Consider the following 27,871-nt stretch of genomic DNA (forward strand, 5'->3'; position numbering starts at 1 on the left):
GGGTGGCTCCTCTGCAGGTCAAAGCGTGATCATGCCAAATCGACGGCCAGCTTCTCTGTCACAGCAGCCTAACTGAGGAAGTTGGCTGCAGCAGAACTCCTCTGCATCCCCGCAGTGCACCCCCACTTCTTCCCAAGTAAGGCCCCGCCAAGCTGGAGAGGAGATCTCGGGCGCTGCTCACCCCAAAGATTCCTCCTCGAATCAGTCTGGACATTGTTTTGCACCAATCCCCAAGTCTGACTTTGGTTTATGATCGGGTTTGTTGGGGCTCAGAAAAAAATGAAACCCCAAAGTGTGGCACTTTGGTGTGCAGAGTACTTTGAACTAAAGGAGACTGGAAAGCCTCCAAGGAAACCTCAGAAACAAGGTCTCCCTCTCCGATCTTCTCCTGCCCTCCTGTCTCCTCCTCTTCTTTCTCCCCTGAAGCAACTCGCAGAAAGCAGAATTCCTCTTTCTCAAGGAGGGTCATAGAAACTAGAACCCCTTTCCCCCAAAGCAAGCCATAAAACCCTAGAAAAATTACTCTAACCTTCCCCTGCCTTTCTGTGTAGACAGTGACGGTAAAGAAATTCTCTGACCTACCTTGCCTGATAGTAGGTAATAAGACCCTCATTCCAGGGGGGTCCTGCCCTGATCCCTGGAGGAAAAAATGCTACAGACTGCAGCCAAGAAGAATCGGAACACACAGGCCTTGCTGGGCTTCCCCTTCCATTTATTAGCCTTAGATCACAGCCTTTTGCCCAATCACATTTCTGCCTGGCCGTTCATTCTGCATTAAATCTAAGCATAAAAATGAACAGTTTTCCTTGGATCTTTGGGTTTTCATTTCTAAAAGCTCCCATGTCATGTAAAACTTTGATGAAAGAAATATGTTACCCTTTTCTCTTGTTACCCATCTTTTGTCATAGTATTGGCCGTGACTCTTATGATAGGTGAGGAAAGGTATCACACCTCTTCACTCCTACAAGTTCAGTGTATTTCTGAGTTTGGCTCTCAGCTTTAATTTTATTCCCTGCTTTGCCTAACGGAAATTTATTCTTCAGTTTTTAGCTAAACTATTTCTCCTCAGACTGTTTCCTGTCATAAACTCATGTCTCACCCTGCCCTTCTTTTTATCACTCGTCACATCTGTTATTTTAATTGTTTAACTTCCGTCTTTCCTAAGACAGGCATCAGCTGAGCACAGTGCCTGTTTAGTTCATAGGCACATTCCTAAAACCTTGCACTGTGCCTTGCACATACTAGGCACTCGAACGTGTTGGAGGAATGAATGAATGAACGATTTATAGCACACTGTCAGCAAACTTTCAAAATGAAACATCCAGAGACACCTAATATAGGGAACATTTTATTTGGAAAGATTTTGAGCATCATTCTCTTTTCATTTTTTATTAAGGCAGTAACATTCTTTCTTCCTGGAGGCGGAGGGGGGAAATCATCTGAGGCTACAGTAAGTTCAATCTGAAGTCAAAACCAACCAATTTGTATTCAGAAGCAGCAAAAATACTGGTTATGGGCTGGGAGGAGCCACATGTTGGCTTTCTGAGTCCACTGCCAAGGAACAGATCCAGAGCAATGCATTTCAATTGCTTTGAAAAATGGCTAAGTTCCATTACATACCACCACTAAAGAAGATACCTCATTGATGGAGCTTTTCACCATGATAGAGGGCGTCTTGCATTGGTTCACAATGGCCTGTTGCTTTTTAGCCTTCAGTTGGTTTAGGGGGAAATTGCTCAACCTATGAGACCTGCTCAAATTCATACTGTTCTGGTTTTGCTTTGGAATTCTTTGTCCAGTAAATTAGCTCTTCATAACGCAGTTCCACCATTTCTTATCCAGCATAGATTCATTCTGCCCTTGACAGCTGGCTAGGTGTGTGTGTATGTGAGTAGGGGTGCTATTGATTGGCACATATTGTCCCCCCTGGAGTTTAGGGGTGGCAGAAAGCTTTTATAGTACCAAAAAAGTAAACATTGATAATATGGCCTGACAACAATCAGATATGCTAAGCTCTAGAAGCAAAAGCAAGGTAGGATTGCCTCCAAATGTTGACAGGTATTAGCCATACCACAGTAACTAGATCTAATGTGAGGGCTAAATGCCTGGAGAGGCAGAACCCTAAAGGATGCTTAGTTATAGCTCCATGCTGCCGCCGAGTGGCTTGATGCTCCATTACACCCTCCTTGGATCCAACCTTCCATTAAGGCTGAAGGCTCTAGAGGGCAGAGTATTCAAGATGTTAGATCTGGTCCAAGCCCAAATTCTAGAGTTAAAAGCAGAGGGGTTCTTAGTGGCTGAAAAAAAACAAAACCTGATGACATTTGGGACTCCAGTTTTGAGGAAAGGCTCTGATGATGAGGCTTACTTCTGCAGGCTACCAGAGACTCCTGAGACTTCAACAGCTTGACTGATTTATCACACACTCCAAGTGGCCCAGAGACAAGGACGGCCAGAAGAGATGGGCCCCCCCGGAAGGCATGGTTCCAAAAGTGTGAGGAGCAAAGTCAAGGGAGGCAGGGTAGGAAGAGGGGACAGAAAGAGGGGCTTGCAACAGATCAAATGCTGACCTCCAGGAACAGGGTTTAGGGCAGGTGTGATGTTTCCCCTCCTGGCCCTCATCTTGAACAAAGAAAAGGGAAGCCACATGAAGCTGGTTTGAAAGATTATATCAAAATTAATACCACTGCAGCTTCTATCCTTGGCTAATGGCAAAAGCGAGAAGGGTACCTGGAAAATAACTTCTTTCTTTTCCTCTAGATTTTCGAAGAAGCAAATAAATCAAGAATAGAAACCTATATATAGGAGGTTGGGCCTCCTGCAAAGAATGAAGCACTTTTTGTTAAATACAGGAGAGGCTACTTGGCTGCACTAATATGTGCTTTTTGGAATCTTATAGAGTGTCACCAAGTTGAACTTTGGAATGGCTTGAATCATCCCTGGAGCATCTGTGCCGGGCAGTCAGGAGTGAGTGCACCGCCTCCCACCCAGCCCCATTGGGCCTCACACCCTCTTCATTCCTTTCCCCATGAGGCAGGCAAACACGGTCATGACCATTTTGGGGTTCACTTCAACCAGGTCTTCTGGCAGGGCATACACTCTTGCTCCAATTTTTCGGGCCATAGAGATGGCATATCTAAAAGGGAGAAAAGAGGAAAAATAAGGAGAGCCTGAGAAACACAACACGAATGGGACCCTGGAGGGTCACAGTCACAGTCGTTCCATAGTCAGGACAGAACTCACTCCTGCAGTGGCTGGAGTCAGTCACCAGCATCCTCACACTTTTGTGGACAAATTTTGGCTCAACCAAAGATTCTGACAAAGCATCAGACTTGCTGGCTAGTCTCGTGATCATTATCAAGTGTATTATTTGTCCTTGGAGACCTCTTCAGCTCCTGCCTTTTTTTTAAGTTAAGTTTTTTTTTTTTTTTTTGTAGAGACAGGGGTCTCACTATGTTGCCCAGGCTGGGCTTGAACTCCTGGCCTCAAGAGAAGCTCTTGCCTCAGCCTCCCAAAGCACTGGGATTACAGGTGTGAGCCACTACAGCACGTGCTGCCACTTTTGATACTCACACCAGGAGTATTCTCTTGGGCTACATAGCAGCATAGCAGAAAGAGTCACAGAACTGAATAAACATGTGTGCTAGGAAAAGTTTGCAGACTACATTTCAACTACAGTAACATTTTGACAAGGAACAAAAGAGGAAAAATGTATAATATCCTGACCTTGGCCAGGCGCGGTGGCTCACGCCTGTAATCCCAACACTTCGGGTGGCCGAGGCGGGTGGATCACAAGGTCAGGAGATCGAGACCATCCTGGCCAACATGGTGAAACCCCATCTCTACTAAAAATACAAAAAATTAGCCAGGCGTGGTGGCGTGCGCCTGTAGTCCCAGCTACTCAGGAGGCTGAGGCAGGAGAATCGCTTGAACCCGGGAGGCGGAGGCTGCAGTGAGCCAAGATCGTGCCACTGTAGTCCAGCCTGGGCAACAAAGTGAGACTCCGTCTCAGAAAAAAAAAAAATCCTAGCCTTACACATCAATTTTTTTATTCTTTGTTCCATTCCAATTCTTGCCCACATATATTTGTACTTATTTATGGTACTATAATATAGAGTAGCCAGAGATTTATATTCCATATTTTCACATAGAATGATAATAGCTGCATCAGAACATTTTTGCTCTATTTGTAGATATATGAAGATAAATTTCATTAATTGTAATTTATTTTCAAATGAGCCCACACTACTACCTGGCAGTTCTTTTATTCACCTCGTTTATTATCTAGTGACCTCTTACTATGGTTACACCAGACACTCTTCACTCTACCCAAGCCCACATTTACTACCTCCTGCTCTCCTAAAATTACTTTACTTTTACTTTATTGATCAAATTAAATTAAGAGCATCAGGCATGAGTGGTCCCATTTTTTCTCCTTGTCTCTCTCTCAATAACTTCTTCCATATTAATTATTAACAAAGTAAAATTAATTTTTCCCCATTATAAAACACAGAGGGAAAACGGTCTGAAAATTAAAAGGGAGCTTCAAACAAAATCACACACAATCTTGCCACCATGACATAACCATTCTTCGCATTTTGTGTAATTTCTTTCACCCCTTTTTCTAAGTAATTTTGTATCTCGCCCTCACAGGAGAGTGCTTAGGGGTCTGGGCTCTGAAGTTGGACTTTGAATCTCAGCTGCACAACTGAAAAACTGTATGGCCTTGGCAAGTTTCTTAAACCTAATCACACTCCCCTTGAACATCTGGGCTGAAGGCTTTTTACAATTTCTGGGTCTTCATATGTGTTTTTCCTTCTGCCTGGAACATTCTTCCTCTCTCCTTCACCTGTCTACTTCCTTCTTACTTGTCTTTTCAGTTGAGCTCAGCTGAGCTGCTATTTGCTCTAAAGAGCTCTAGTCCCCTTCCTATCCCTTCAGGGATGCCTCATACTGTCCCTTCCACACCTCTCATCACAATCTATTGTAATTTTAGTTTAATTATTTATTTCTCTCCATTAAATTGTGTTAAACTTTGGCATCCCGAGAGCACAGGTTCCCACTTTCCCAAACTGGGAACAGAGAGAAGGGCTCTGTTGGGATTATAAAGCAGGGATGCCGGGCACTAGATACTTGTATCTTCTAGACCTGTGGTATGAGCTGAATTGTGTCTCTTCGAAATTCATATGCTGAAGTCTTAACCCCCAGCACCTCAGAGTATGACCCTAGTTGGAAAGAGGGTTGCTGCAGATGTAAGTAGTTAAGACGAGGTCATGCTGGAGTTGGGTGGGACCTTAATCCAGTAGGACTGGTGTCTTTCTAAGAAAAGAAGTGTCGCAGAGAAACACAAAGCGGGAAGACAGCCGTGTGAAGTCACAGACACGCAAGAAGAATGCCATGTGAAGATGGAGGCAGAGATTGGCATGGGGCAGATTCTCCCTCAGAAGAAACCAATCCTGCCAACATCTTGATTGCAAACCTCTAGCTCCTATAACTGTGAGAGAAGAAACTTCTGCTGCCCAGTTTGTGCAGTACTTCGTTGTGGCAGCCCAAGGAAACTAACGGAATCTGATCTGAGAAAAGCACCTGTCTGGAGCAGATGTTCATTAACTTTTTTTGCAAAAGACTGGATGGTAAACATCTTAGGCTTTGTTGCAACTATGCAACTCTGCTGTTATAGCAGGGAAGCAGCTATAGACAAGATGCAAATGAATAGGCTCTGTTTCAATAAAACTTTGTTTAGAAAAGCAGACAACAGGGCAGATCTGGCTCAGAAACTGTAATATGCTGATACTCACTCTAGAGGAATCATTTGGCAGGTGACCTGAATGGTAAAACACAAGACAGTGGCTTTCACACTGGCAAAGGCTCTGCTGTGGAACCCTACCCCTGTGCATTCTTATCCATGAATATTCATGAATGGAGCATTTGGTTAGGAAATTGGTTTTATGAAACTATAGGCTTGCTTATCAATTACAAGAATACTCTCATTATTGGGTTGTTTTTTTTTTTTTGTCTTGCTCCCATTCTGGCACTAGAAGTTTTAAACTACTATTGTCCCATATCCAAAACAGTGATGATGAGACTGCAGAAAGTCATGAGAAGGAAAAGCACGGATAGTGAAAATGAAATGTTTGTATAAAGGCATGAGCATTAGACTTTACAACCATCCAGCTGCCAGTTGGGTCCTTCCCTCCCAATCTGAGGTTTATTTTTATTTACGTACTTTGCATTGTTGAGTTTCTCATCATCATTCAGATTTTCTGTCTTCAGAAGGTCATAGTTAATGGAACCTGGTTGGATGGCATCGATGAGGTCCAGAACAGGCAGACTTGTACTAATCTTCGGGTCCTATGCAGAGACACAGGGAGGGTTTCATCAACGTGTCCCAAAGTTACTCCCATTCAGCTCAAAGGAAGTGGGTGGCTTTTTCTTCCTAAATATATAATATATACAGCCTGGTCTGGGAAATGCAGCAGTATTCCACATAGTGTTTCAAATAAACTGTAGTTTCTGTAGGAGCATCAGTAACTTCCCAGAAAACCCACCGTCTACCAACAGCAGGTAGTCATTCTCAAATAATAAATGGAAGGAAGTTAGCACAACTAGAGAAAGACGTAAAGTTAAAATAGTGGATTGTGTCAAGCATATGAAAAAATGCAAAAATGCTCGGCATCACTAATCATCACAGAAATGAGGACCAAAACCACAATGAGATACCACTGCACACCATTCAGAAGGGCTATTACTAAAAAGTCAAAAAATAACAGATGCCAGTGAGGTTGTGGAGAAAAGGGAATGATTACACACTGTTGGTGGGAATGTAAATTAGTTCAGCCCCTGTGGAAAGCAGTTTGGAGTTTTCTCAAAGAACTAAAAATAAAATTACCATTTGAACCAGCAATCCCAATATTGGGTACATACTCAAAGGAAAATAAATTATTCTTCCAAAAAGACACCTGCATGCTTGTGTTCATCGCAGCACTATTCATAATAGCAAAGATATGGAATCAACCTAGGTGCCCATCAACAATGAACTAGATAGAGAAAATGTGGTACATATACACCATGGAATACTATGCAGCCACAAAAGAGAATAAAATCATGTTATTTGCAGCAACATGGATGCAGCTGGAGGCCATTATCCTAAGTGAATTAATACAGTAACAGAAAACCAAATACTGCATCTATTCACTTATAAGAGGAAGCTAAACATTGAGTATGTATGGACATAAAGGTAGGAACAATAGACATTGATAAATACAAGCAGGGGGAGGGTGGAAGTGGGTTAAAGGTGAAAAACCACCTGTTCAGCACTATGCTCACTATTTGGGTGACTGGTTCAATGGAAACCCAAACCTCAGCATCACACAATATACCCTTGTAACAAACCTGCAAATGTACTCTCTGAATCTTTTTTTTTTTTTTTTAAAGAGTGGGTTGTGTTCATTTTTAAAAGGGCTTCACATAAAAGGAATGTGGGGCTAGTATGACATTTCTTTCAGTACATTATGTGGCCTCTTTTACTTAATCAATTCTGCAACAACTTACTAAGAAGACAGGAGAAAATGAGCCCCGAGTGTTACAAGGAGCAAAAGAATTGCCAAACCTTTCTAATAGTGAACCCCAGCATCGCTTGTCAAACCTTGTCCCCATAAGAACACCCCAGAAGCCACAGCCTAATGTAATGGGCTGGAGCAGCAGCTATTTTACGGAGAGAAGCACCCCTGGGCTATGTAACTGGCCACTTCATATTAACAGCTAAGTGACCTATAGATACACTACACTCTACAGCCTCACCCCACAGGTAAAAGGCATTTTCCTCCCATTTGTGGACCATCACATACAATTACTAGCCATACTCTTAGGAAGTTACTTGAGCTTTGATGTCCTCACCTATAAAATGAGGAAAACAGTAAAGCCAGCTTCACAATGTCAGCGAAGATGCCCTAAGACATGAACAAGGAGCCCCTGGTAGCCAGAGCCCATTCAATATCTAGAGCTCCTTTCAACTTTGCTTTTCTTTACTGCCTTTCCAAATCTCTTTCTGGAAGAATCTGCTTGCCGCCTTTCCAAATCTCTTTCTGGAAGAATCTGCTTGCATCAGTGACCAGCATCCACTCCTAACTCTGCTCAGCTCTCCAGACTGAACAGTAGGCTGGAGATAGAGCAGAGGTGACGGTTATCTGTGATGAGCTCACAGCAGGTGGACACTCCTGCGACAGCCCTGCCCTGACAATATCTTCTGCTACTGCTTGTGGAAAGAGATTTTCATTTTTTCTTGATTTTGAAACACAGGATGGATATCATGACGAACCACCTCACCAACCCTGTTAATACAACTCGGAAGGTGTTCCTCCCCCTAATCCTGACCTTCAAGCTAGAAAAATGTAGTTAAGATGGCACAGGCATTATGATGATGTGGATCAAGTGCACACGTCCTTTGAGGAGGAATCCAGTTAATGCATGAAACATGAGTCAAGAAATTTAATAAAATGCTGCTATTAATAAAAATGAGATTTAGATAGAAGTACACAACTGCTTTTTTACAAAAAACATCACAAGGGAGATCTTTGAGCATTTTACATGTCACCATTATAATATTAATCTGAATCATGGAGGTGCCCACATTTTACGAATACTATCATAGTTTATATTACTTTGAAAGAACAATGCCTAAAATCTTGCTTTTAAAATCATGGATTTTAAGTGGGAACTAAGCACTGAGTACACATGGACATAAAGATGGGAATAAGCCAGGCATGGTGGCTCACGCCTATAATCCCAAAGCACTTTGGGAGGCTGAAGCAGGAGGATCTCTGGAGGCCAGGAATTTAAGACCAGCCTGGGCCACATAGTGAGACCTCATTTCCAAACAAACAAACAAAAATTGCTGGGCATGGTAGTGTGCACCTGTAGTCCCAGCTCCTCAGGAGGCTGAGGCAGGAGGATCACTTGAGCCCAGGAGGTTGAGGCTGCAGTGAGCCACAATCATGCCACTGTACCCCAGCCTGGGTGACAGAGTGAGACCTTGTCACAAAAAACAGATATGAAAAGTAAACATAAATAATAAAAAATATTAAAAAATAAATTAAAATTAAAAATATAAAAATTAAAATTAAAAATAGACAGTAGAAACTAGGTGAATGGGGAGGGAGGGAGGAGGACAAGGGCTAGAAAACTGCCTGTTGGGTACGATGCTCCATACCTCGCTGGTGGATTTATTTGTACCCCAAACCTCAGCATCACTCAATATACCCATGTAACAAATCTGCACATGTACCCCCTAAATCCAAAATAAAAGTTGAAATTTTTTTTACTGATGGGTTTTTATGATTAACTTATGGGAGAAAGTATTGAGAAATTCATTAATGAAATGGCTGATGAACATCAAAACAATAACGAGTCATTTAAGCAAAATTGAAATGGGAGGGGGAGCCTCTAATACCTACCACTGAAGGTCACTTGAACACATAATGAAAACAATACAGATAGGCATAGAGCTCAGATGGCCTCTAGCAGAAGACAAAGAATTTTACCTTGAAACTAGAGATGGATGAACTTTTCTTTGCTTCCCTCAATGTTTCATTCACCCAGTTGACAATAATGTCATCATTGACCTTCTGGCCACCACCAATTTCTTCGAGGATATTCAGTGTATACCTGAACAAAATAAAGAATGCTTTCTGGAGAACAGTTGCTAAAGAATTTAATATAAACAAAAAGTAGCTAAGGATGGAATTTTTTTTTCGGGTATGTCATAGAAGACAGTCTGGACACCATTACATTTGAGAGAAAAAAAGAACATATTACAACATTAGTTCCTTTTAGAATAACTTAAGACGTGACTTTATGGCTAGTATAATGAAATGTAAAGCAGATACCTCCTTTCTAAGCATGATCATTGCTCTGAGCAAAAAGAAAAAGCCAAAGGGAAAAAATGCAAGGAAAGGAAAATGAAGGAAAAGATTCCAACCTGTGGCAATTTAAAAAAGATAAAAAATCAAGCAATAACTCAATGTTGGAAAAGTCTGAGTAGCCTACATGATAAAGAAAAAGTATAAAATACTTTTTGCCTTATATAAGTAAAAATGTTAGAAATATGCTGACAAAGATAATCTTTAGTCTGAAGGTAAGAATTACCTTAGATACCTACTGTTATGAGAATTGGTTTGTTTGTTGTTTTGGAGGGGTTGGGGGACATTTATTAAGAAGAGGCTTTAACCTCTTAAAATTCTATAGACTAGGCCAGGCGCCAGTAATCCCGGCACTTTAGGAGGCCAAGGTGAGCAGTTCACTTGAGCTCAGGAGTTCCAGACCTGCCTGGGAAACATAACGAAACCCGGTCTCTACCAAAAACACACACAAAAAATTAGCTGGACATGGCAGCGCTTGTCTGTAGTCCCAGCTACTAGGGAGGCTGAGGTAGGAGGATTGCTTGAGCCTGGGAGGCAGAGGTTGCAGTGAGCTGAGATAGTGCCACTGCACTCCAGCCTGGGCAACAGAGTGAGACTCTGTCTCAAAAAAAAAAAAAAAGAAAAAAAAAAAACCCACACTGTCTCTGGAGCAGAGAAGAACCACCATTCCCTAAAGCTACTCACTTCTGAAAGGGAAATGCATGGGAGAAAGCCCAGCAGTCCAGGAACACATGGGTTTGTGGACTTCATGGTTCAGGTTGGCAGGAGGGGATCAAATTACACATGAAAGACCTTCAGGGCTAGAATTACAGTGTGTGCTTCTCAAACTGAAACTCAAGAATCCTGTGACTGAATCTCATCTGACCGGTTCTACCTAAATTCAGGTCACCCTCCACTTGTGTGCTCTAGGATTTTGCTTACATAATCCATCGGGTATCTTCCTCTAGTTCCTGCTCCTATGGACAGTACAGTTCTCCCGTGACTTTCCAGATGGTTTTCAAGTTTAGTCCCTGAAATAAGAGCAATGCCCTGCTTCTTCTAGGTGAAAACACCTTCCCATTATTGAAGAGAGGAAGGAAAATGGCTTGTGCAACTTTTCTTTATCAAAATTCACATTTAAACTGACAGTGATGTCCTATCAATTACACCTCGTAAGTCTCCCTCAAATCAATTAGCTCCTCTTCATTCTGTTTCTCCACCTCACAGAATTTCCTTTCTGAAGTACAGTTCTGGTCTGTCTTTTTTTTTTTTTTTTTTTTAAGAGATGGGGTCTCACTACATGGCCCATGGCCCAGGCTGGAGTGCAGTGGATATTCACAGGTATGGTCATGGCTCACTGCGCCCCCGAACTCCTGGGCTCAAGCAAGCCTCCCTAGTACGGGATGGACCACAGACACATGCCACAGCTCCCTGCTTGGTCACATTTAATGTGATTCGACATGGCCCAAAGAATACAGGTTAAGCTCCAGCACACAGCACACAAGGCCCTTTACAATTTGGCTCTAGTATTCTTTTCCAGCACATCTGTGATTTCCTTCTTCCCTCTCTGCTTCCTTGCCCATCGTGTGCTACACACACACACACACACACACACACACACACACACACAAAGACCTATACACATTTCAACCACACAGAACCATCAGCAGCTCCCCAGGCACACCTCCATCCTCCTTCTGCCTCCTGCTTCTGGGACTCATCTGTACTCACTACCTGGGCCCCCTTCCCTTCTAGTGAATTCCTAATCATTTGAACAATCCTCAGCTCAAGTATCACTTTTCCAGCTTGCACAGTGTATTCATCAGTATTGGTATACTTGCTTCAAACCTGTTCCCAGAACTTGTGATGGCATTGGTATCCACCGTGTGCCCTCGGACAGGGTCCATGTGCCCTGTTCATCAGAGGTTAGCAGACTGCCTAGCACTACTGGACATCTAGTAAATGAAGGCACAGAGAGGCGGGTGAAATAAATAGAGTGACTGTCTCCCAGGGAAAGCAAGGGGATAAGAAAGATGTTTAGTCTGGTCCAAGAGATGGGACCAAAATGCTGAGAAATCATGAGTATAAATGGGGTAAGTGCAGATAGATTTTCAAAATATTTCTAGTTTGGAAAAGATCCTACTTTTGATCTCTTCATAAAGGTTACATTTTATGGCATAACTGGCTTCTTATTTCCAGATAGCATGCATATTAAGTTATTAGCATTTACTGTAACATCTAAGAATTTCTGCCTAATGAACATCTGAATTAAAAAAAAGGTAGGTTAGTGCTTGCTTCATTAGGTCCTCTCTATATATAACCTGACGGAACAAACTAAGTTTAATCAGTCTTCTGGTAGCTTCTCTTGTCCTGAGACCTAGTTCTCACTTCCCTTCATCAGGAGTTGCAGCCCGGCGTTGTCCACATGCTCATGTAAACGGCAGCAGTGTTCTTGACCCACCTCCTAAGCCTGGGAACTAAATGGTGCAGAGGGGAAGCCCACCTTTATACTAAAGTTTGTCTGCAAGAGTGAGAAGCTACTAAGGAACAGGGAACCTTATAGAGGTATAGCAAATTGTGGAGGCAGCTTATTCCATGCTGGGGTTTGAGAACAGCCTCTCATAGTGGCACAGAGTTCCAGTGAACACAAGGCAGTCTTTCTGTCACCTCAACTGAGATGCAGAGGTTTGAAATGGAATCAGACACCCACTTGTAAGTAAAACGATAAAAAAAAAAAAAAACACAAAGAGAAGAAAGAATAGAATTAGGCTGGGCCGGGCACGGTGGCTCATGCCTGTAATTCGAGCACTTTGGGAGGCCGAGGCGGGCGGATCACCTGAGGTCAGGAGTTTGAGACCAGCCTTACCAACATGGAGAAACCCTGTCTCTACTAAAAGTAGAAAATTAGCCGGGTGTGGTGGCACAAGCCTGTAATCCCAGCTATTTGGTGGGAGGCTGAGGCAGGAGAATTGCTTGAACCTGGCGGGTGGAGGTTGTGGTGAGCTGAGATCGCACCATTGCACTCCAGCCTGGGCAACAAGAGCAAAACTCTGTCTCAAAAAAAAATTAGGCTAGAGCCTCCATTCTAGATAGTACACTAAGCAATTGCTCATCTAAATACAGATTTGAAATGTAAAACAAAAACTAATTTGGCCTGTGTCTTTCTAGATTTTTCCTTTTGAGATAATTACTGCATATTATCAAACCTGCTTTGGGACGATTGTGCTATTAAATGGAGCCCTCCAGACAAGATCTCAGTATTACCAGTGTTTGTAAAATGTGCTGTGCTGAAAAGCTCTTTGTCAAAATGAAACAGAATTATGAGCTCCAGCTTTAGCCAGTTCCTCCTTCAACAAGAGAGTTGATGAGGTTTGGATGTGAGGCACTAGAGGGATGTGATTAGTACCTGCTTACTTTCCTGCCTTCCAACACTTGTTTTACTTATTTATTATTTGGCATAGAGGAACAAACCAGGCATTTTGTTTTTCAAGGACCCATCCTGACTTCACCATCCACAGCCTGTTTGACCTGGGGAGAGTTTCCTAATTGTCTGCTTCGGATTCTTTGTTCATTTGCTTCAGAGCCATCATTGCCATGTGCTGGCAGCCTGCTTGCTTCAAGGGTTTTATCTGCAAGTTTATGCATATGCTGTTTGCCAACTGTCCACCCTGAGAATGATTTCCAAGCTACTGAAGGGGATAGGGAAGTTTAAGTACATATCTCTCATTTGCTCTCATAGGAAAAAATGACAAGCCATTTATTGTCCAGATAAATGACCAAATTAGCACATCAGCACAATTCAATGAAATAAATTCCAGCTAGAACCAGCTGTAAATTTAATAGATCTTTTAATATATAGCATGCAGGGAAAAAAATCCCTTCCGGTGCCATTTATATAATTATCAGTCATTACTTCTCCTTCTACAGTAATATATTTTTCTGTCTACTTTCTTAAATGCACGATTCTTATGTAGTAAACACTCATGAGAAATATGACTTTTTAACCAGGTGGAGACAGCAACAGCAGAGTGGACCTTGTTGTGTATGTGCCAGCCATTAAATAGGGCTTTGAGCCACATTTTTATAAAACATCCAAAGATCATATTGCAAGACGTTTTTCAGATATTATGAAATTTAACATAGAATGGGGTTGACCTGAGTTTGTTTGTTTGTTTTTTTCTGAGACAGAGTCTCGCTCCGTCACCCAGGCTGGAGTGCAGTGGCATGATCTTGGCTCACTGCAACCTCTGCCTCCCAGGTTCAAGAGATTCTTCTGCCTCAGCCTCCTGAGTACCTGGGACTACAGGCACGCACCAGCATACCTGGCTAATTTTTGTATTTTTAGTAGAGATGGGGTTTCACCATGCTGGCCAGGCTGGTCTCAAACTCCCGACCTCAGGTGATCCACCCGCCTCGGCCTCCCAAAGTACTGGGATTACAGTATGAGCCACCGCACCCGCTGGCTTGAGCTTTTTAATCATTAAAATAGCATATATTAAAGATTATTTAATATTGAAACCCATGAGTCAGTTTAACTGTTGCAACTAAAAGGACTTTTGCTTTGGTTTTTAAAGCAATCAGTATGAATTGCTAATCTGTTAAAAATTTAAAACTTGTGGAAGATAATAAAGATAGCTTGGAAATATCATCTGGAAATACACTGGTGAGAACAGCCCTGAGGAGTTTTCAATGATGTTCTGGATACATGCAGTAAACTAAAAGACAGAGTTGGAGTTTCTTTAGTTCTGGAGTTTTCTGCACCAGGGGAGCCTTATGACATCTGCCCCCATCATTAAAGAGACCCCAGTGTGGAAATGGGTAATGGAGCTCTATACTTAGTAAAGCAAATGTGAATCAGGGAGTGAAATCTTTTATGATCACTTCTGATTATCCTACCTTATCTGGAAATACTGACACGATTACATCCAGAGCCGGCCATTATTAGGATCTGCAGACAGTGGCTTGGAACTAAAGCTGCAGTGCCTAGGCACACCACGAACCTTGTCTTTGCCATTATCTTTCCAGACAGAATGTAATGTGACATGCAGTTTCTGGGGCTTCCTTCCAGGTAGGAAAATGAATTGAGTCACACTAACATAGGATCTAATGAGGGGATGTAAGATTCTTGCCTTGTCAGAGCTATTAGTATAGGGGGAAAGACTGAAGCATTTACAAGTAAATTATTTTATTACTTACAGAATTCCTATCTAAAAGTCTTCCCAAGCTTATGATTTTGTACCAAAATTGTTTCTTTTTCTTATAATTTATTTTCTATTTGTGTATCTTTTTATAACCTATTTTTGTTTAACTAATATCACCCTATACTTCTCACATTAGTCAAGTTTATATTCAGTTCCAAAACATATCTAAAGTTTTGTATGAAAGGAACTTCTGTTTCTGGCCATGATGGAATAACAGGGCCCACATTTAAACACTTATAATACAGTGAAAAACATATGAAACAATGTTGTTCAGACATCAGACAATAGGAAGCACAGGACAGTGGCCCCTGAAAAGAAGAAAACAAAGTTAGCCTTAAGATTTTTCCAGCATGGAAAAAGTTTCCAAGCTGCAGCATAGGAGGAGAAAACCCAAACAGCTGGCCATCCTCTTGAGTGGAGGAAACAGGGATGAGAAATGAAGGAAGCCCAGGTGCCTAGAATTTAGGGGAAAGACTATCAGAGTGGTGAGAACTGTATAGAGAGAAGAGAGTCATTCAGAAAGAAAGCTTCAGCGGCCTTCAGAGGGTTTCCCTCAGTCTTCAGCTGAGGACCACTCAGTGCACATGTGTGAGGAAACTACTAGAGGCTGTGGGGAAAAACCCACCAGAAATGAGCCACGAGAGCAATCCTTGGGGCTCACACAAGGCTGGAAAAATTTGTTCCCACCAGCTGGAGTGGAAAAATTTCATAATACATGAGCATCAAGCAAAGTACTCAGAAGACCATTTTCTCATTACTAACAAGCAAAATGAGCTCTAGATTAATTAAGCTTAAAAGTAAGCCTCAAATGGATCAAACTGTATTTAAGTTACTTAAGTCTATCCCAGGATTAAATTTAAGAATATTTAAAGGAATACAGAAATATCCAGTACACAGCAAGGTCAAATTCATGATATTTGACATATAATTAAAAAATTAGCAGCATGCAAAGAAGCCAAAAAATATGACTCATAATGAAGATAAAAATAAATTAGTAGAAACAGATCCCAAAATAAGTTACTGTAATTATTTTCTGTATGTTCAAGAAGGTAAAGGAAAGGACAGCTATGGGAAATATAAAAATGACTCAAAATTTCTATACATGGAAACTATAATGTCCAGGTTAAAAAACATGTACACTGGATGGAGTTAATGGAATATTAGACATGCAAAATAAAAGAGATTAGTGAACTTGAAAACACAGCAATACAAGTTATACAAAATGAAACATAGAGAAAATAAATCACTAAAGCATCGGTGAGCTTAGGGACAACTTTGAACGATCAAATATACATGGACTTGGAATCCCCCAGAACCAGGGCTGGTGGGTATGGAAGATATGTTTGAAGAGATGAAAGTTAAGTTTTCCAAATTTGATGGAAAGTATAAACCCATAGATTCTATAAGTTCAACAAACCTCAAGCATAAGAAACAACAATGGAGCTGGGCATGGTGGCTCATGCCTGTAATCCCAGCAGTTTGGGAGGCTGAGGCACTCGGATCATTAGGTCAGGAGTTTGAGACCAGCCTGTCCAACACGGTGAAACCCCGTCTCTACTAAAAATACAAAAATTAGCTGGGCATGGTGGCGTGGACCTGTAGTCCCAGCTACTCAGGAGGCTGAGGCAGGAGAATCACTTGGACCCAGGAGGTGGAGATTGCAGTGAGCCAAGATCACACTACTGCACTCCAGTCTGGGCGACAGAGCAAGACTCTGTCTCAAAAAAAAAAAAAAAAAAAAAGAAACAACAATGTACATCATAATAAAATTACCTAAAACCTGTAATAAAGAGAAATCTTAAAATAAGCCAGAAAAGAAATACTACATATGAGGGAACAACAATAAGAATGACAATAGATTTCCCCTTGGAAACAATGTGGGCCAGAAGACAGTGAAACTATCTTTAAAGTACGGAAAGAAAAAACTATCAACTTAGAATTCTGCACTCAGAGAAAAAAATATTTTGAAAATGAAATAGACATTTTCAGACATATAGAAGCTGAAATCACTCATCACCAGCAAACTTGTGCTATTAGAAATATTTTAGGTAGACAGAAAATGATACCAAATGGAAATCTTGATCTATAAAATAGTAGGAAGAGCACTAGAAATAGTAAATGTGTAGATAAATATAGCATAATTTCCCCTTTATTTAAAAAGTCCCTTTAAAAGTAATTGTTATTTACACAGATCAATTGAAGTAAAAGGATGGTAAAAAGATAGGCCATGCTAACCACTAATCAATAGGAAGCCTATAGAAGCAATAGTAGCTATTATCTATTAATGTCAGAAAAAATAGATTTCAGAGAAAAGAATATTAGTAGGCATAAAAAAGACTACTTTATAAGGACAAAGGGATGAGTAAATTAGAATGAAACAACAATCTAAACTGTTTATGAACCTAATAACAGAGTTTCACGATACTTGAAACAAAAACTGATAGGACTGAAAAAAAAAAAGCAGAAAGGTAAAAAGTGTTTCTCTGGTTATGAAGCTTAGCTTAAAACATACTTTTACTGAATTAACTCATACTGCTAAAAATTTGCTAATATTTGTCTAAGTAAATAATGTATTCAAGAAAAAGCCACTTCCATAAGCTATACTACCTTCTCATTAGCTGCCAAATCAAGGCCAGTGTGAGAGTGCGGTTTCCTTCATTGAGATCTTGTCCACCGATGCCAACCAGGGAGAACTTCGCTTGATTCTTCCCCAATTCTACCGCGTAGTTACAATTCTCAAGCTGAATGAGCAGAAAGGAAAACGATTTAACGTCATCATCTTGATTATGATAAATACCAGATAAATAATAAAAATAAAGATAAAAAATGAAATAAATATGGTAAGACCGAATGACCTCTCAAGTCTCAACTGGTTCTGCAATTCTAGGATTCAAAATTAAAGAATTTTCCATCTGTCCTTAGAACCCCTCACTTTCATAAAAAATATTCATAATGTGGAAAACTGAAATGAATTCATTACTATGAATATGTTCACAGCTATATCACACTGCAGAAATGGAGAGCCATCCTTAATTACCTACATGTAATATTTCTAAAAAAGGTGAATTCATGGAGATTGACATGGAAAATTTGGAGTCTCCATCCTCTGCACACATAGCAAATGGACATGTGAACAGATATTCCTGTAGCTACGCATGGATCATTAACAGTCACGGCAATAAGAAATGCTGAGAAATGGCTGTGTCAACCCTGTTGTTTCAAAACAATGTTCCCACTGTGTTGACAGTCGACAAACTGTTTGAACAAGTCAAGCTGTCAGTACAAGCTCCAATTCTTTAGAAATTAGAATAAAGATCCTGCTGAGGGAAAAATCCCTGTGGCTCTCTGCTTGCTCTAATTATCTTAATTAGAATTTTTGCATGATAATGTTTGAAGACATCCAACATGGAATTATAAATAAGCAATTGACTGAAATAATGGACACACTTTAATAAAGCTGTTCAGGTTTCTGATTGCTGTACTAGAATTTAATTTCTGGAAAAACATTACTTGTCTACGTTTGGCTGCCTTATAAAGTATTTAGAGTGCTCTTGCAGGCTATGACTTTGCCTGTCTCCTGGAACAACAGAACCATCATTGTTTACCTTCTTCATATTGCCTCCCAGTTTGGGGTATGGCGGTTTGTTTACTCTGTTCCAGTCAACAGGAACTTTGATCTTTTCATAGAGCTGGAAGATGACCAGGGCATCTGATAAGTCACTGAACAAAACAAACACAAAAGGATTCTCAGATATCCAACATTTATTCAGGGCCTACAATGGGCCAGACACTTTCTTACATATTAGTTCAAAGAATATTCACAACAACCCTGCACACTTGGTAGTCGTAGCTCCATCTATAGAGGTGAAGAAACCATGACTCAGAGAGATTGGGGGACTCACTCTTCCCAGGTGTGACTAGCTATGCCCTTCCATCCAACATATGCTGCCTCAGGAAAAGAAAGAGCACTATGGTGACGAAATAATCTGTACACCAAACCCCTGCAACATGCAATTAACCTATATAACAAACCTGCACATGTCCCCTGTACCTAAAGGTTTACAATTTGTAAAACTAAATAAATGTAAAAGAAATATTTAGAACGGGCGCAGTGGCTCACGCCTGTAATCCCAGCACTTTGGGAGACCAAGGCGGGTGGATCATGAGGTCAAGAGATCAAGACCATCCTGGCCAACAAGGTGGAACCCCGTCTCTACTAAAAATACAAAAAATTAGCCAGGCATGGTGGCAGGTGCCTGAAGTCCAAACTACTTGGGAGGCTGAGGCAGGAGAATGGCGTGAACCCGGGAGGCAGAGCTTGCAGTGAGCCGAGATTGCGCCACCGCACTCCAGCCTGGGCGACAGAGCGAGACTCCATCTCAAAAAAAAAGAAATATTGAAAAAAAAAAGAAGAAAATTGCTTTAACAAGTGGCATAGGAGACACTTCACCACAAACTTAACATCTGTTGTTTTGCCTGCTTGTGAGCGGGTTATATGTAAGATCACTTATGACATATAGTAAATGTTTCATTTTGTTGAGGTATGATTTATATATTGAGCACACAGTGAGACTGATGTATGCAGGTGAGTTTTTCAACTGAATATCCAACATCTGAAGCTCAACTTGGCACTTTTTCCCCTTCCAGCAAGGTATGCACATTTTGTGAAGAGAATGCACATCATAGTGGTATTTGGAATCCTATGGCTCTTTTGAGGTCTCTATCTTACATTAGAATGAGTTCCCAAATATTCCTACCTGTACAAATGATTGACTCGAGGGTTAACACCCAGGGAGTTCATCCAGTTCCTAAATGTCCGCTCTTCTCTCGTCTCACCTAGATGAATGAAGATGGGTTATCTTTTGGGACCGAAGAAAACATAGCTTTTTTATGACCAAAGTTTAACTAAAGAGGATGCAATAAAAACTGAAAGTAGAATGAAAGAAAGAAATAAAATAAACTGTATTGGATTTGGACGAGGGTTCTTATACTGTGTTAATTTTTCTTTTCCATTTCAATTCCGCATGTATTTCTATAGTATCTATTAATAGTGTGTGGAATCCTGTGTGGGGTAGCTGTTCAGTTGGCTCTCAAAGGCTTACCTTCTTGCTGGAAAAAACAGGACTTTTAGGCATCAAACAGAGATCATACAAGCTACAGAACTCACTTATGAGGTAGATATATTTGTTATTTGAATTGAGACAGGGAAAAGAACAGTATGGACTGAACTTGGAAGGGGTGGAATTTGAACTTGTCCTTGGATAGCTAGCAAAATCTGGATCAGAAAAAGGAAAGAGTAGAGGATTTGGGGAGATAGCAAGGGGTGGGAGTAGAAGGTAGTATAAATATGCATACAAAGGGAGCAACAGGCAAGGTCTCTATTAAGAACATCAGGAACTGGTTTGGTCAGGGGTGTGTGTTGTACAGCCCAATGAGATAAGCCTATCTGGAAGAAGGATTCAGAATTGGGGATCTTTGGATACCAGGTAGCAGATTTTAGTTGACAGACAACGGCAGTCATTATGGCTTTGTAAAATTACTACAATAAATTCTTGAGCAAGGCAGAGATATAATAAAATCAGTACCGGGATGTGACTGGCAGCAGTGTGCAGAATCACTGAAAGGCGATATGCATTTGAATTAAACACGGCAGAGGACAGAGTGTTTGACATTAGCATGTGGGATACATTCAAGCATTTGATAAATGGAGACTCCAAGATCCATTAAAATAATTAGTGTATGAGGTAATGAGCTTGGAATAGCATAAAAGAAACATAACAATTGAGAAAATGTTCCAAAGGAAGAATTATTAGTATTTGCTGATTTAGTGGATGTAGGGATGAAGGATAGGAAGATATAGTAGGATCCAAGCTCTTTAGTTTGGTGACTAAAGAAAAAAAAATGGTATGATTAATGGAAATGGAGCATTTCTAAAAGAGGGCAGGCCGGGCGCGGTGGCTCACGCCTGTAATCCCAGCACTTTGGGAGGCCGAGGCGGGCGGATCACGAGGTCAGGAGATCGAGACCATCCCGGCTAAAATGGTGAAACCCCGTCTCTACTAAAAATACAAAAAATTAGCCGGGCGTAGTGGCGGGCGCCTGTAGTCCCAGCTACTTGGGAGGCTGAGGCAGGAGAATGGCGTGAACCCGGGAGGCGGAGCTTGCAGTGAGCCGAGATCCCGCCACTGCACTCCAGCCTGGGCGACAGAGCGAGACTCCGTCTCAAAAAAAAAAAAAAAAAAAAAAAAAAAAAAAAAAAAAAGAGGGCAAACGGGATGGGAGGTGGGCTGGAAAGGCAATGGTTGGGGGTGGGAGGGAAAATAATCAATTCTGTTTTGCATATGCTGCACCTCAAATGATAGCCAAGGATCCAAACAGGAATATTCTAGAAGCAGCTGAAATGGGTGATTTGTGGGCTTGATATATAGATTTGGGAGTCAACAAAATACACACAACCCCCTGACCATAATTCAGCAAATGACACCAATGCAGGAGTGTTGGAGCACGATTATGCTGCATTTCTAGTGAGAGTAAAGCACTGTGGAAAAGGATCAACTCATACTTCAAATCTGAATCTCCTTGCTTGGGTGATATTCATTTAATATTAGTTGACCTTTGTCTCAATATTGGGACTAGTTCATGATTTTTTTAAAAAAGTCAAGTAAACATCTCCAGCACCTCTACCTGGTAGAACGTAATTAAAGCTATATGCTTTTTGTTGAATCTTAGAGCATTAACCTGAAAAATACAACTGTTAGGGATTCTGCCTCAAAATACTTTTCTGTGGCTCCCGTAAGAAACAAAAGAAAACCAAAAACTCAGTAAGCATATCCCAGCATACCTTAAATATCATTTTTTGGAAATGGATGGTGGCAATTTCTTGTCTCTAGGAATCAACACAGTCCATTAAGTACGTAAATTATCTTTTTGAAACTCAGGATTTATTTCATCTAATAACTAAATGCATTATCTTTCCTAAAACATTTAATTCTGATAATGGATGAACGCTTTGTTAATGGACGTGATAGAATGGTATTTGATTATTCCTGCTTGGCTGAAATTGACTTGATGAATCTATTTATTCTCTTTGTTGCATACCAGAGAATTAATGGCCTGTTTGCACATGTAAATAGTTTATATTTGCTTAGGAAGTGAGTTTGAATTGCCATTGAATTAGAATTGTGAGTGCCTTTCCCCATCTTAGGCAAATCGTTTACAGTTACCTTCAAGAGCCCCCCAGTCAATGTCCTGGTTCTCTGGTTTGTGCAGGGCAGGGTATCTGTTAAAGAGGTTGGCAATAAAAGCCAAGTTCAACTTGGGGTTCCCTCGGACAACATCTGTGGCTGTGACAAACTGCCGGCAGCCCAGCCTCTCCGCCTGCTGCAGCATGCATTCTGCCCTCTGGATGTCATCCTTCTCCTGCAATGCAAAAGGATGTCTCAGGGCTGGGTCAAGGCTCTCCATGCACAAAGCAGATTGCATAATGTGAAAAGAAATGGGAATCTCACTGAAATCATTAGTGTTTATCTCAGGCAGACACTTAATAACAGCACATTATTGCCTATATGCACCTGCACCAAAATCAGAAAGTCACAAGTAAAAGGAATCTCAGAGGTTAAGTAACAAGGATCTCTCATCTCCTTTATCAAACTATTTCAGATGAGTGGTTGGTTGCTCTGTTTCAAAAGAGATGCAGTAGATTCTGAAAACTGATCATTTGAGTTTATCTTAATTATTTCCAACCATTAAGATTCCTTTTTATTATTTGTGTGCACAGATGACATGAGATTGTCTATCAAAAATTTTATTTATTAATTTATATTCCCATAACCAGTTCACAAAAGATATTTACACTTGCCAGTAAGAACATATGATTAGCATAACCACTGTCTCCACATTGAGTTGGTATACTTGCAACCCAAATAAAATAAATTTTATCAGTTAACCTATGTATTATTATTGATAAATATATAATATCAATTTTATTTTTGCAGACTTCAGATTTTGAACCACTCAATGTGCTCAAATAATTCTAGAGAATCTCTAGCCATTTGTAAGTGACTCTTAACCCTAAAATTTTGCTGAAATATGGCCCACTGTCCTTAAAGTACATGAAACCACCAATTTTCAGAAAACAAAACTTTAAATTAGGATGATTTCTTAATATGACCCTTTACTAGATAACGCTACACATTATGCATTTCATGAGCTTTACTTGTCATTTACTTTTACTCTACTTCTCATTAGGAATCAGTTGACTTCAACATGAACTCATTGGATTTAACTCCAGTGATATTAAATGAGGCACAGAAACGGGCAAAGAGACTTCTCAAGATCAGTATTAAAGTGGCGGCAAAACAGAAGTTTTATTATAACATTCAGACCCATGTGGGGTTATAGAGTCTACTAAATGATGAACATATATAGAATTGCCTAGCATGCTGGATGGTGTTTAATTACTATTGGTTTCTTTCTTTAATGTTGTATTTCCAGATTCAGTTTTCATCAATTATTATCCCAAACTGCTCACAGTTTTACCGTTTTAACAGGGCTTTAGGCAGAAATGCCCAGTCATGGAACTCCAGAATCAGGGCCACACAAGGTAATGGAACTGCCAACATGAAAATAGCATCATATTCTCCAAACACAACTGGGACCTGGCCTTACCCGCAGTCCTGACATGTCAATAACAACAGCAGGAACACCTTCTTCATCTCCTTTTGGAGCCACCTGCTCAAGCAGGTGGTAATAAGCTTTTGAGTCCTGTGAGAAATTAAGAAATTCCAATTTCAAAATAGCACAGCTAATTACATACTTAGCATAACAATGATTTCCCAAAAGCAAACATTTTATTTCATATTCAGCTATCATTCCAGAATGTAACTTAACAAAGCTAGAAACATTCACTAATTTGAATGTTCTATTTGTCTCTTTACATATCACATTTGCTTTTCTTTTTAAAAGGAGCGTAACAATAAAATAGACAAGATATACACAAAAGGCACCCTAAAGAAGTGGATATTATTCTGTTGTCTTTAGGGGAGAAAAACAACTTATTTACATGAATTAAATTGTATACAGGAAAATATATATATACCTTTATATTGCTGTAGAAGTCAGTCAGCTAAGGTTTAATTAAAAAAAAGTGACAGAAAAAGGAAGCACAAGTTTAAAGCGAGTTTAAAATACATTTAAATGGACAATCAGCAAGAGAAAAAGATGTCAAAGACAGAAGATTGAAGCATTAACAAGCAATCTTTACGTAAAAGGAGAAATATTAAGAAAAGTGCATTTCATATTTATCTAGAAGCTAGAAAAATGGTTCAATTTAGTTATAGCAGATTAGATACAGGTATTGAATTCTCAAGTTTTCTTAGATTCTGAAAATATGCTTATTGACAAAAAGAATTCTCAGAATTATAGTCTTAAAATATAAATTTATTCTTAGTCAATGAAAGCATACAGATTTTCAGGTAGTTTATTTAAATCATTTAATAGCATCTCAATTTCTCATAAAGATCGAAAAATCAGCTATTATTTTGTTTCTACAACTGGTTAGGGTAGGTAAGGCCTGGGCAGAGGAGAGGTATGCTCACCACTTTTGGCATTAGAAAGAGGAGAACCAGAGAGTGTGAATCATTGATGTTGCACCTGGGGAAAATGATCTTCATCTCCCTTCTATCTACCCTCCCTTCTCTGACTTTTCACTGTAGCTATTTTGAAGTCAGTGAAAGTCACATGCAGGTGTCAGGCACCAATACCATCTGCCTGCCCTGGGTTACATCTTTTTAGTTTGGCTAAGAGTAACCTCATTTCACCTGACTCTCATGAACCTTCTCACTCACTCTAGCCTGGGTGTTCTCCTCGCCTTTGCCAATTTACACGATTTAAAGACATCTCCCAAGGTTGCTGGCTGGCTACTCAGACATACACATGACAGCACGGAGTCAGTTGCCATGCAGCGGCTGCCAGAGAACAGGCACAACACTGTATAAGTAAGTGCTCATCTGGCCAGCTCCTATCTCATACAGACACTTCCCAAAGCACAAAATGGTGGTTCTAGAGAACACAGCCATTTAATGACAGGAAATTAGGTAAATTTACAGCTGAGATCTGACAGCCTAATTTTGTCTGAAAAGTTTTGCAATTGCAGAGCTTAACTGTTGAGCACAAAGGGAGAGCATGACAGCCAGCTCCTGTTAAAACCCAGGTCGGTTGGTGGTGCTAGAAGAATGTTAATAGCCCATGAAAGATGCATAGTTAGAAAGATGGATTTAGCTTAGATCCTAAAAAATGGGGGCTTTCCATCTAGAAGCTTGACTCTGACTGGCACAGTGCCTGACACACGCTGAGTTCTAAATGCCACTGAATGCACGTCATATAGCAGTGGGAAACTGTTACTCAAAGAATTACAAGCCTAGGTGTACTCCTGTTGAGTCATGTGAACTTTCCTCTGACTCTTTCTCTTTGGGGAAAAGTTATTTAATGTTTGAGAAAGTGGAGACTGAAGTATTTTCCTGGTGTTGCATCCCAGCATCTCCTACTCTTTCCTTCTAGGGACCGCTTTCCATTCCTTTCTGCTCCTTAACCACTTTCTATCTTCATCCATCTGTCATCATTGCCAATAGCTGTTTTCTTTCACCTTGACAGGGAACTTTTCATATACTTGAAAACCACAGTGTATTCCTGCCTCAGCCTTTCCCCTATGGACCTCTTTGTCTCTTTATCTGTAAAATGAGAGGATAATAACCCTTACCTCATGGGGTTGTTGTAAGGATTCAATAAGAGAATACACATATAAATCAGTTAGAACAGTGCCTGGCATGTTGCAGACACCATGTTTGCTGTTATTAGTATAACTAGAAGAGTCATCTTCATTTAATTTTTTACAGGGAATTCCCATCTGCTGCTCCCATTTATGAAACCAGAGACATTACAGACCTACATATATTCCCTTTACTTGGACAGCAGACTGTTCTCTTGCTCTTCCTCTAGCTCACCTTTGTCCCTCTACTTCCTGATATGGAAACTCCAATCGAGACACTGCACTAGGACTCTGGGCAGGTCTGTGTATGGCCCAGGACTAGAGCAGCAGATGGGCTCTCAAGGACAGTGAGCACCTCCAAAACAGCACCAGACTACCCTGGAACTTCTGAAGAGAGGAAGCCCCAAATCTTTATCTTTTCTTTATTATTGCCCAAATTCCCCTTCACTCCTGCAGAGAGTCATGTTCAAACAACGCTCCTCCTACCTTGATGTCAGTACTGAAGTTGCCAATTTTGTTGCAGCCTGCATTTTCCAGGTGGTAATTAGCCCACCTCAGCAAGAGCTCTTCAGGGGAGAGTTTCATCAAATCCTCCAGGCTCTCACCTTCTCTCAAAAGAGCAATCAGAGCTGAAGAAGCACAAAAACCACAGAAAAATAAATGCAGCGATGTTGGGGGAGGGGGGTTGGTTATAACTTTCATTAAGCTCTGCTAAAAAGCTAAAGATAACAACGTTACCTCTTTGGGGTAAAGGTTCTTGTAGCCTTTCCCATGGATTAAATATTTTATTATTATTCCCTAAAAAGAGGCGTAAGCCATTGTGAGCTTATTTATTATCTCCATTTTCCAGATGGAGAAAACAAAGCACAGTGAATCTCAACGCTATGTTTAAGAACATTTGGGCAGAGCCATAAAAATAACCAAGGCTACTGGCTCGGATGTTTTGCTGGGTCTGTCAAACCACATTTCACAATATGACAACATTTTTGCTTTTAAGAGATCAATTTTGTAATAATAACAATGTTCTCTTGTCTATTCCCATAGGTGTTTTATATTTCAAGTGCTTACCTGCCTAATTATAGCAACTCAACAATGTAATCAACTCTCCTCTACGTTTTCCCAGATGAGTAAGTATTTTTTTGCTCAGCTAGAAGGTTTAAATTTAGCTGAGGTCATTATTTGAAGATCAATATTCTTTCTCACAGGTTCTAAGATCCCTATTTCCTCTCCCCCGCCTTCTTTATATTATGTTTAATACATTGGTTTTTAAATAATATTTCAGGATTTTTCATTGGTTATTGTGATTTGGACATATAAATAAAAAAGTATGTATAACTAAAGATTAGAACTTGACTACAGATTTCATATTGGTAGGATTTGTACCTGATAACTAAAAGATAACATCGTGTTTTGCATGATACTTATCAAGGTGGGCTACCTCTGTCTAAGCCAGGGGGCTGTCACTGTTTACATACAGATAAGATGGTGAGAGAAGACGCAATAAGATTGACAGCTACATATTTAGTTGAGAACTCTGAAACCCTAAATGGAATTTTCTACGGTCTTTAAAAATGTTTATTCTAGCCTGCATAGATTTAAGGTGTGTAACGTGATGTTTTGGTATACTTATCTTGGTAGACACATACACAGTAAGGTGGTTACTGTTGGTCAAGCAAATTAACATACTCACATCTCATATCGTTACCTTTCTTTTTCTTTCTTTCTTTCTTCATTTCTCTCTCTATCTCTTTCTTTCTTTCTTTTTTGTAGGAAGAGTGCCTGAAATCTACTTTCTTGGCAAATTACCAGTATACAGCACAATATTATTAACTATAGCCCTCGTGCTGTTTAGATCTCCACTTATTCATCCCATATAATTGCAACCTTGAACCCTTTGACCTATACCTTCCTCTATAGTTTTGATAAGAAATAGACCAAGTTCCTCCTAATCTGGTACCTTCACTATAGTATATGAATGTGAGTTGCTTACTTCGCAAAGTGCAAGTTAA

General features: G+C 40.3%; 1 protein-coding gene across 5 annotated transcripts in view, besides 2 other annotated features; it reads right to left on the minus strand.

The window, feature by feature from the left end:
* Nucleotides 864-973: an enhancer, noted in NCBI's record as "active region_7690". NCBI's record gives its function as "activates an Ori minimal core promoter by ATAC-STARR-seq in GM12878 lymphoblastoid cells {active_cell/tissue: GM12878}" and the evidence as "EXISTENCE:reporter gene assay evidence [ECO:0000049][PMID:35858748]".
* LCP1 (lymphocyte cytosolic protein 1) overlaps nucleotides 1,336-27,871 on the minus strand; it is a 56,255-nt gene continuing 29,719 nt past the window's right edge. For 4 of the 5 annotated variants that reach the window (NM_002298.5, XM_005266374.3, XM_047430303.1 and 1 more), the window contains 9 exons: nucleotides 26,349-26,491; nucleotides 23,765-23,860; nucleotides 22,321-22,516; nucleotides 19,855-19,933; nucleotides 18,703-18,817; nucleotides 17,705-17,838; nucleotides 9,540-9,663; nucleotides 6,227-6,351; nucleotides 1,336-3,136 (listed from right to left, as the gene is read on the minus strand). In NM_002298.5, the coding sequence (NP_002289.2) occupies nucleotides 3,004-3,136; nucleotides 6,227-6,351; nucleotides 9,540-9,663; nucleotides 17,705-17,838; nucleotides 18,703-18,817; nucleotides 19,855-19,933; nucleotides 22,321-22,516; nucleotides 23,765-23,860; nucleotides 26,349-26,491 (1,145 nt within the window). In that variant the 3' untranslated portion in view covers nucleotides 1,336-3,003. Of the gene's footprint in view, nucleotides 3,137-6,226; nucleotides 6,352-9,539; nucleotides 9,664-17,704; nucleotides 17,839-18,702; nucleotides 18,818-19,854; nucleotides 19,934-22,320; nucleotides 22,517-23,764; nucleotides 23,861-23,927; nucleotides 24,222-26,348; nucleotides 26,492-27,871 lie in introns of those variants that run through there. The other variant, XM_047430305.1, reaches the window with a different exon arrangement.
* Nucleotides 25,409-26,608: an enhancer, noted in NCBI's record as "BRD4-independent group 4 enhancer chr13:46724131-46725330 (GRCh37/hg19 assembly coordinates)". NCBI's record gives its function as "activates an origin of replication core promoter dependent on BRD2, P300/CBP, MED14 and CDK7 cofactors, and independent of BRD4, by STARR-seq in HCT116 cells {active_cell/tissue: HCT116}" and the evidence as "EXISTENCE:reporter gene assay evidence [ECO:0000049][PMID:35650434]".

The sequence above is a fragment of the Homo sapiens genome, chromosome 13, assembly GCF_000001405.40.
Source record: "Homo sapiens chromosome 13, GRCh38.p14 Primary Assembly".
Classification (NCBI taxonomy): Eukaryota; Metazoa; Chordata; class Mammalia; order Primates; family Hominidae; genus Homo; species Homo sapiens.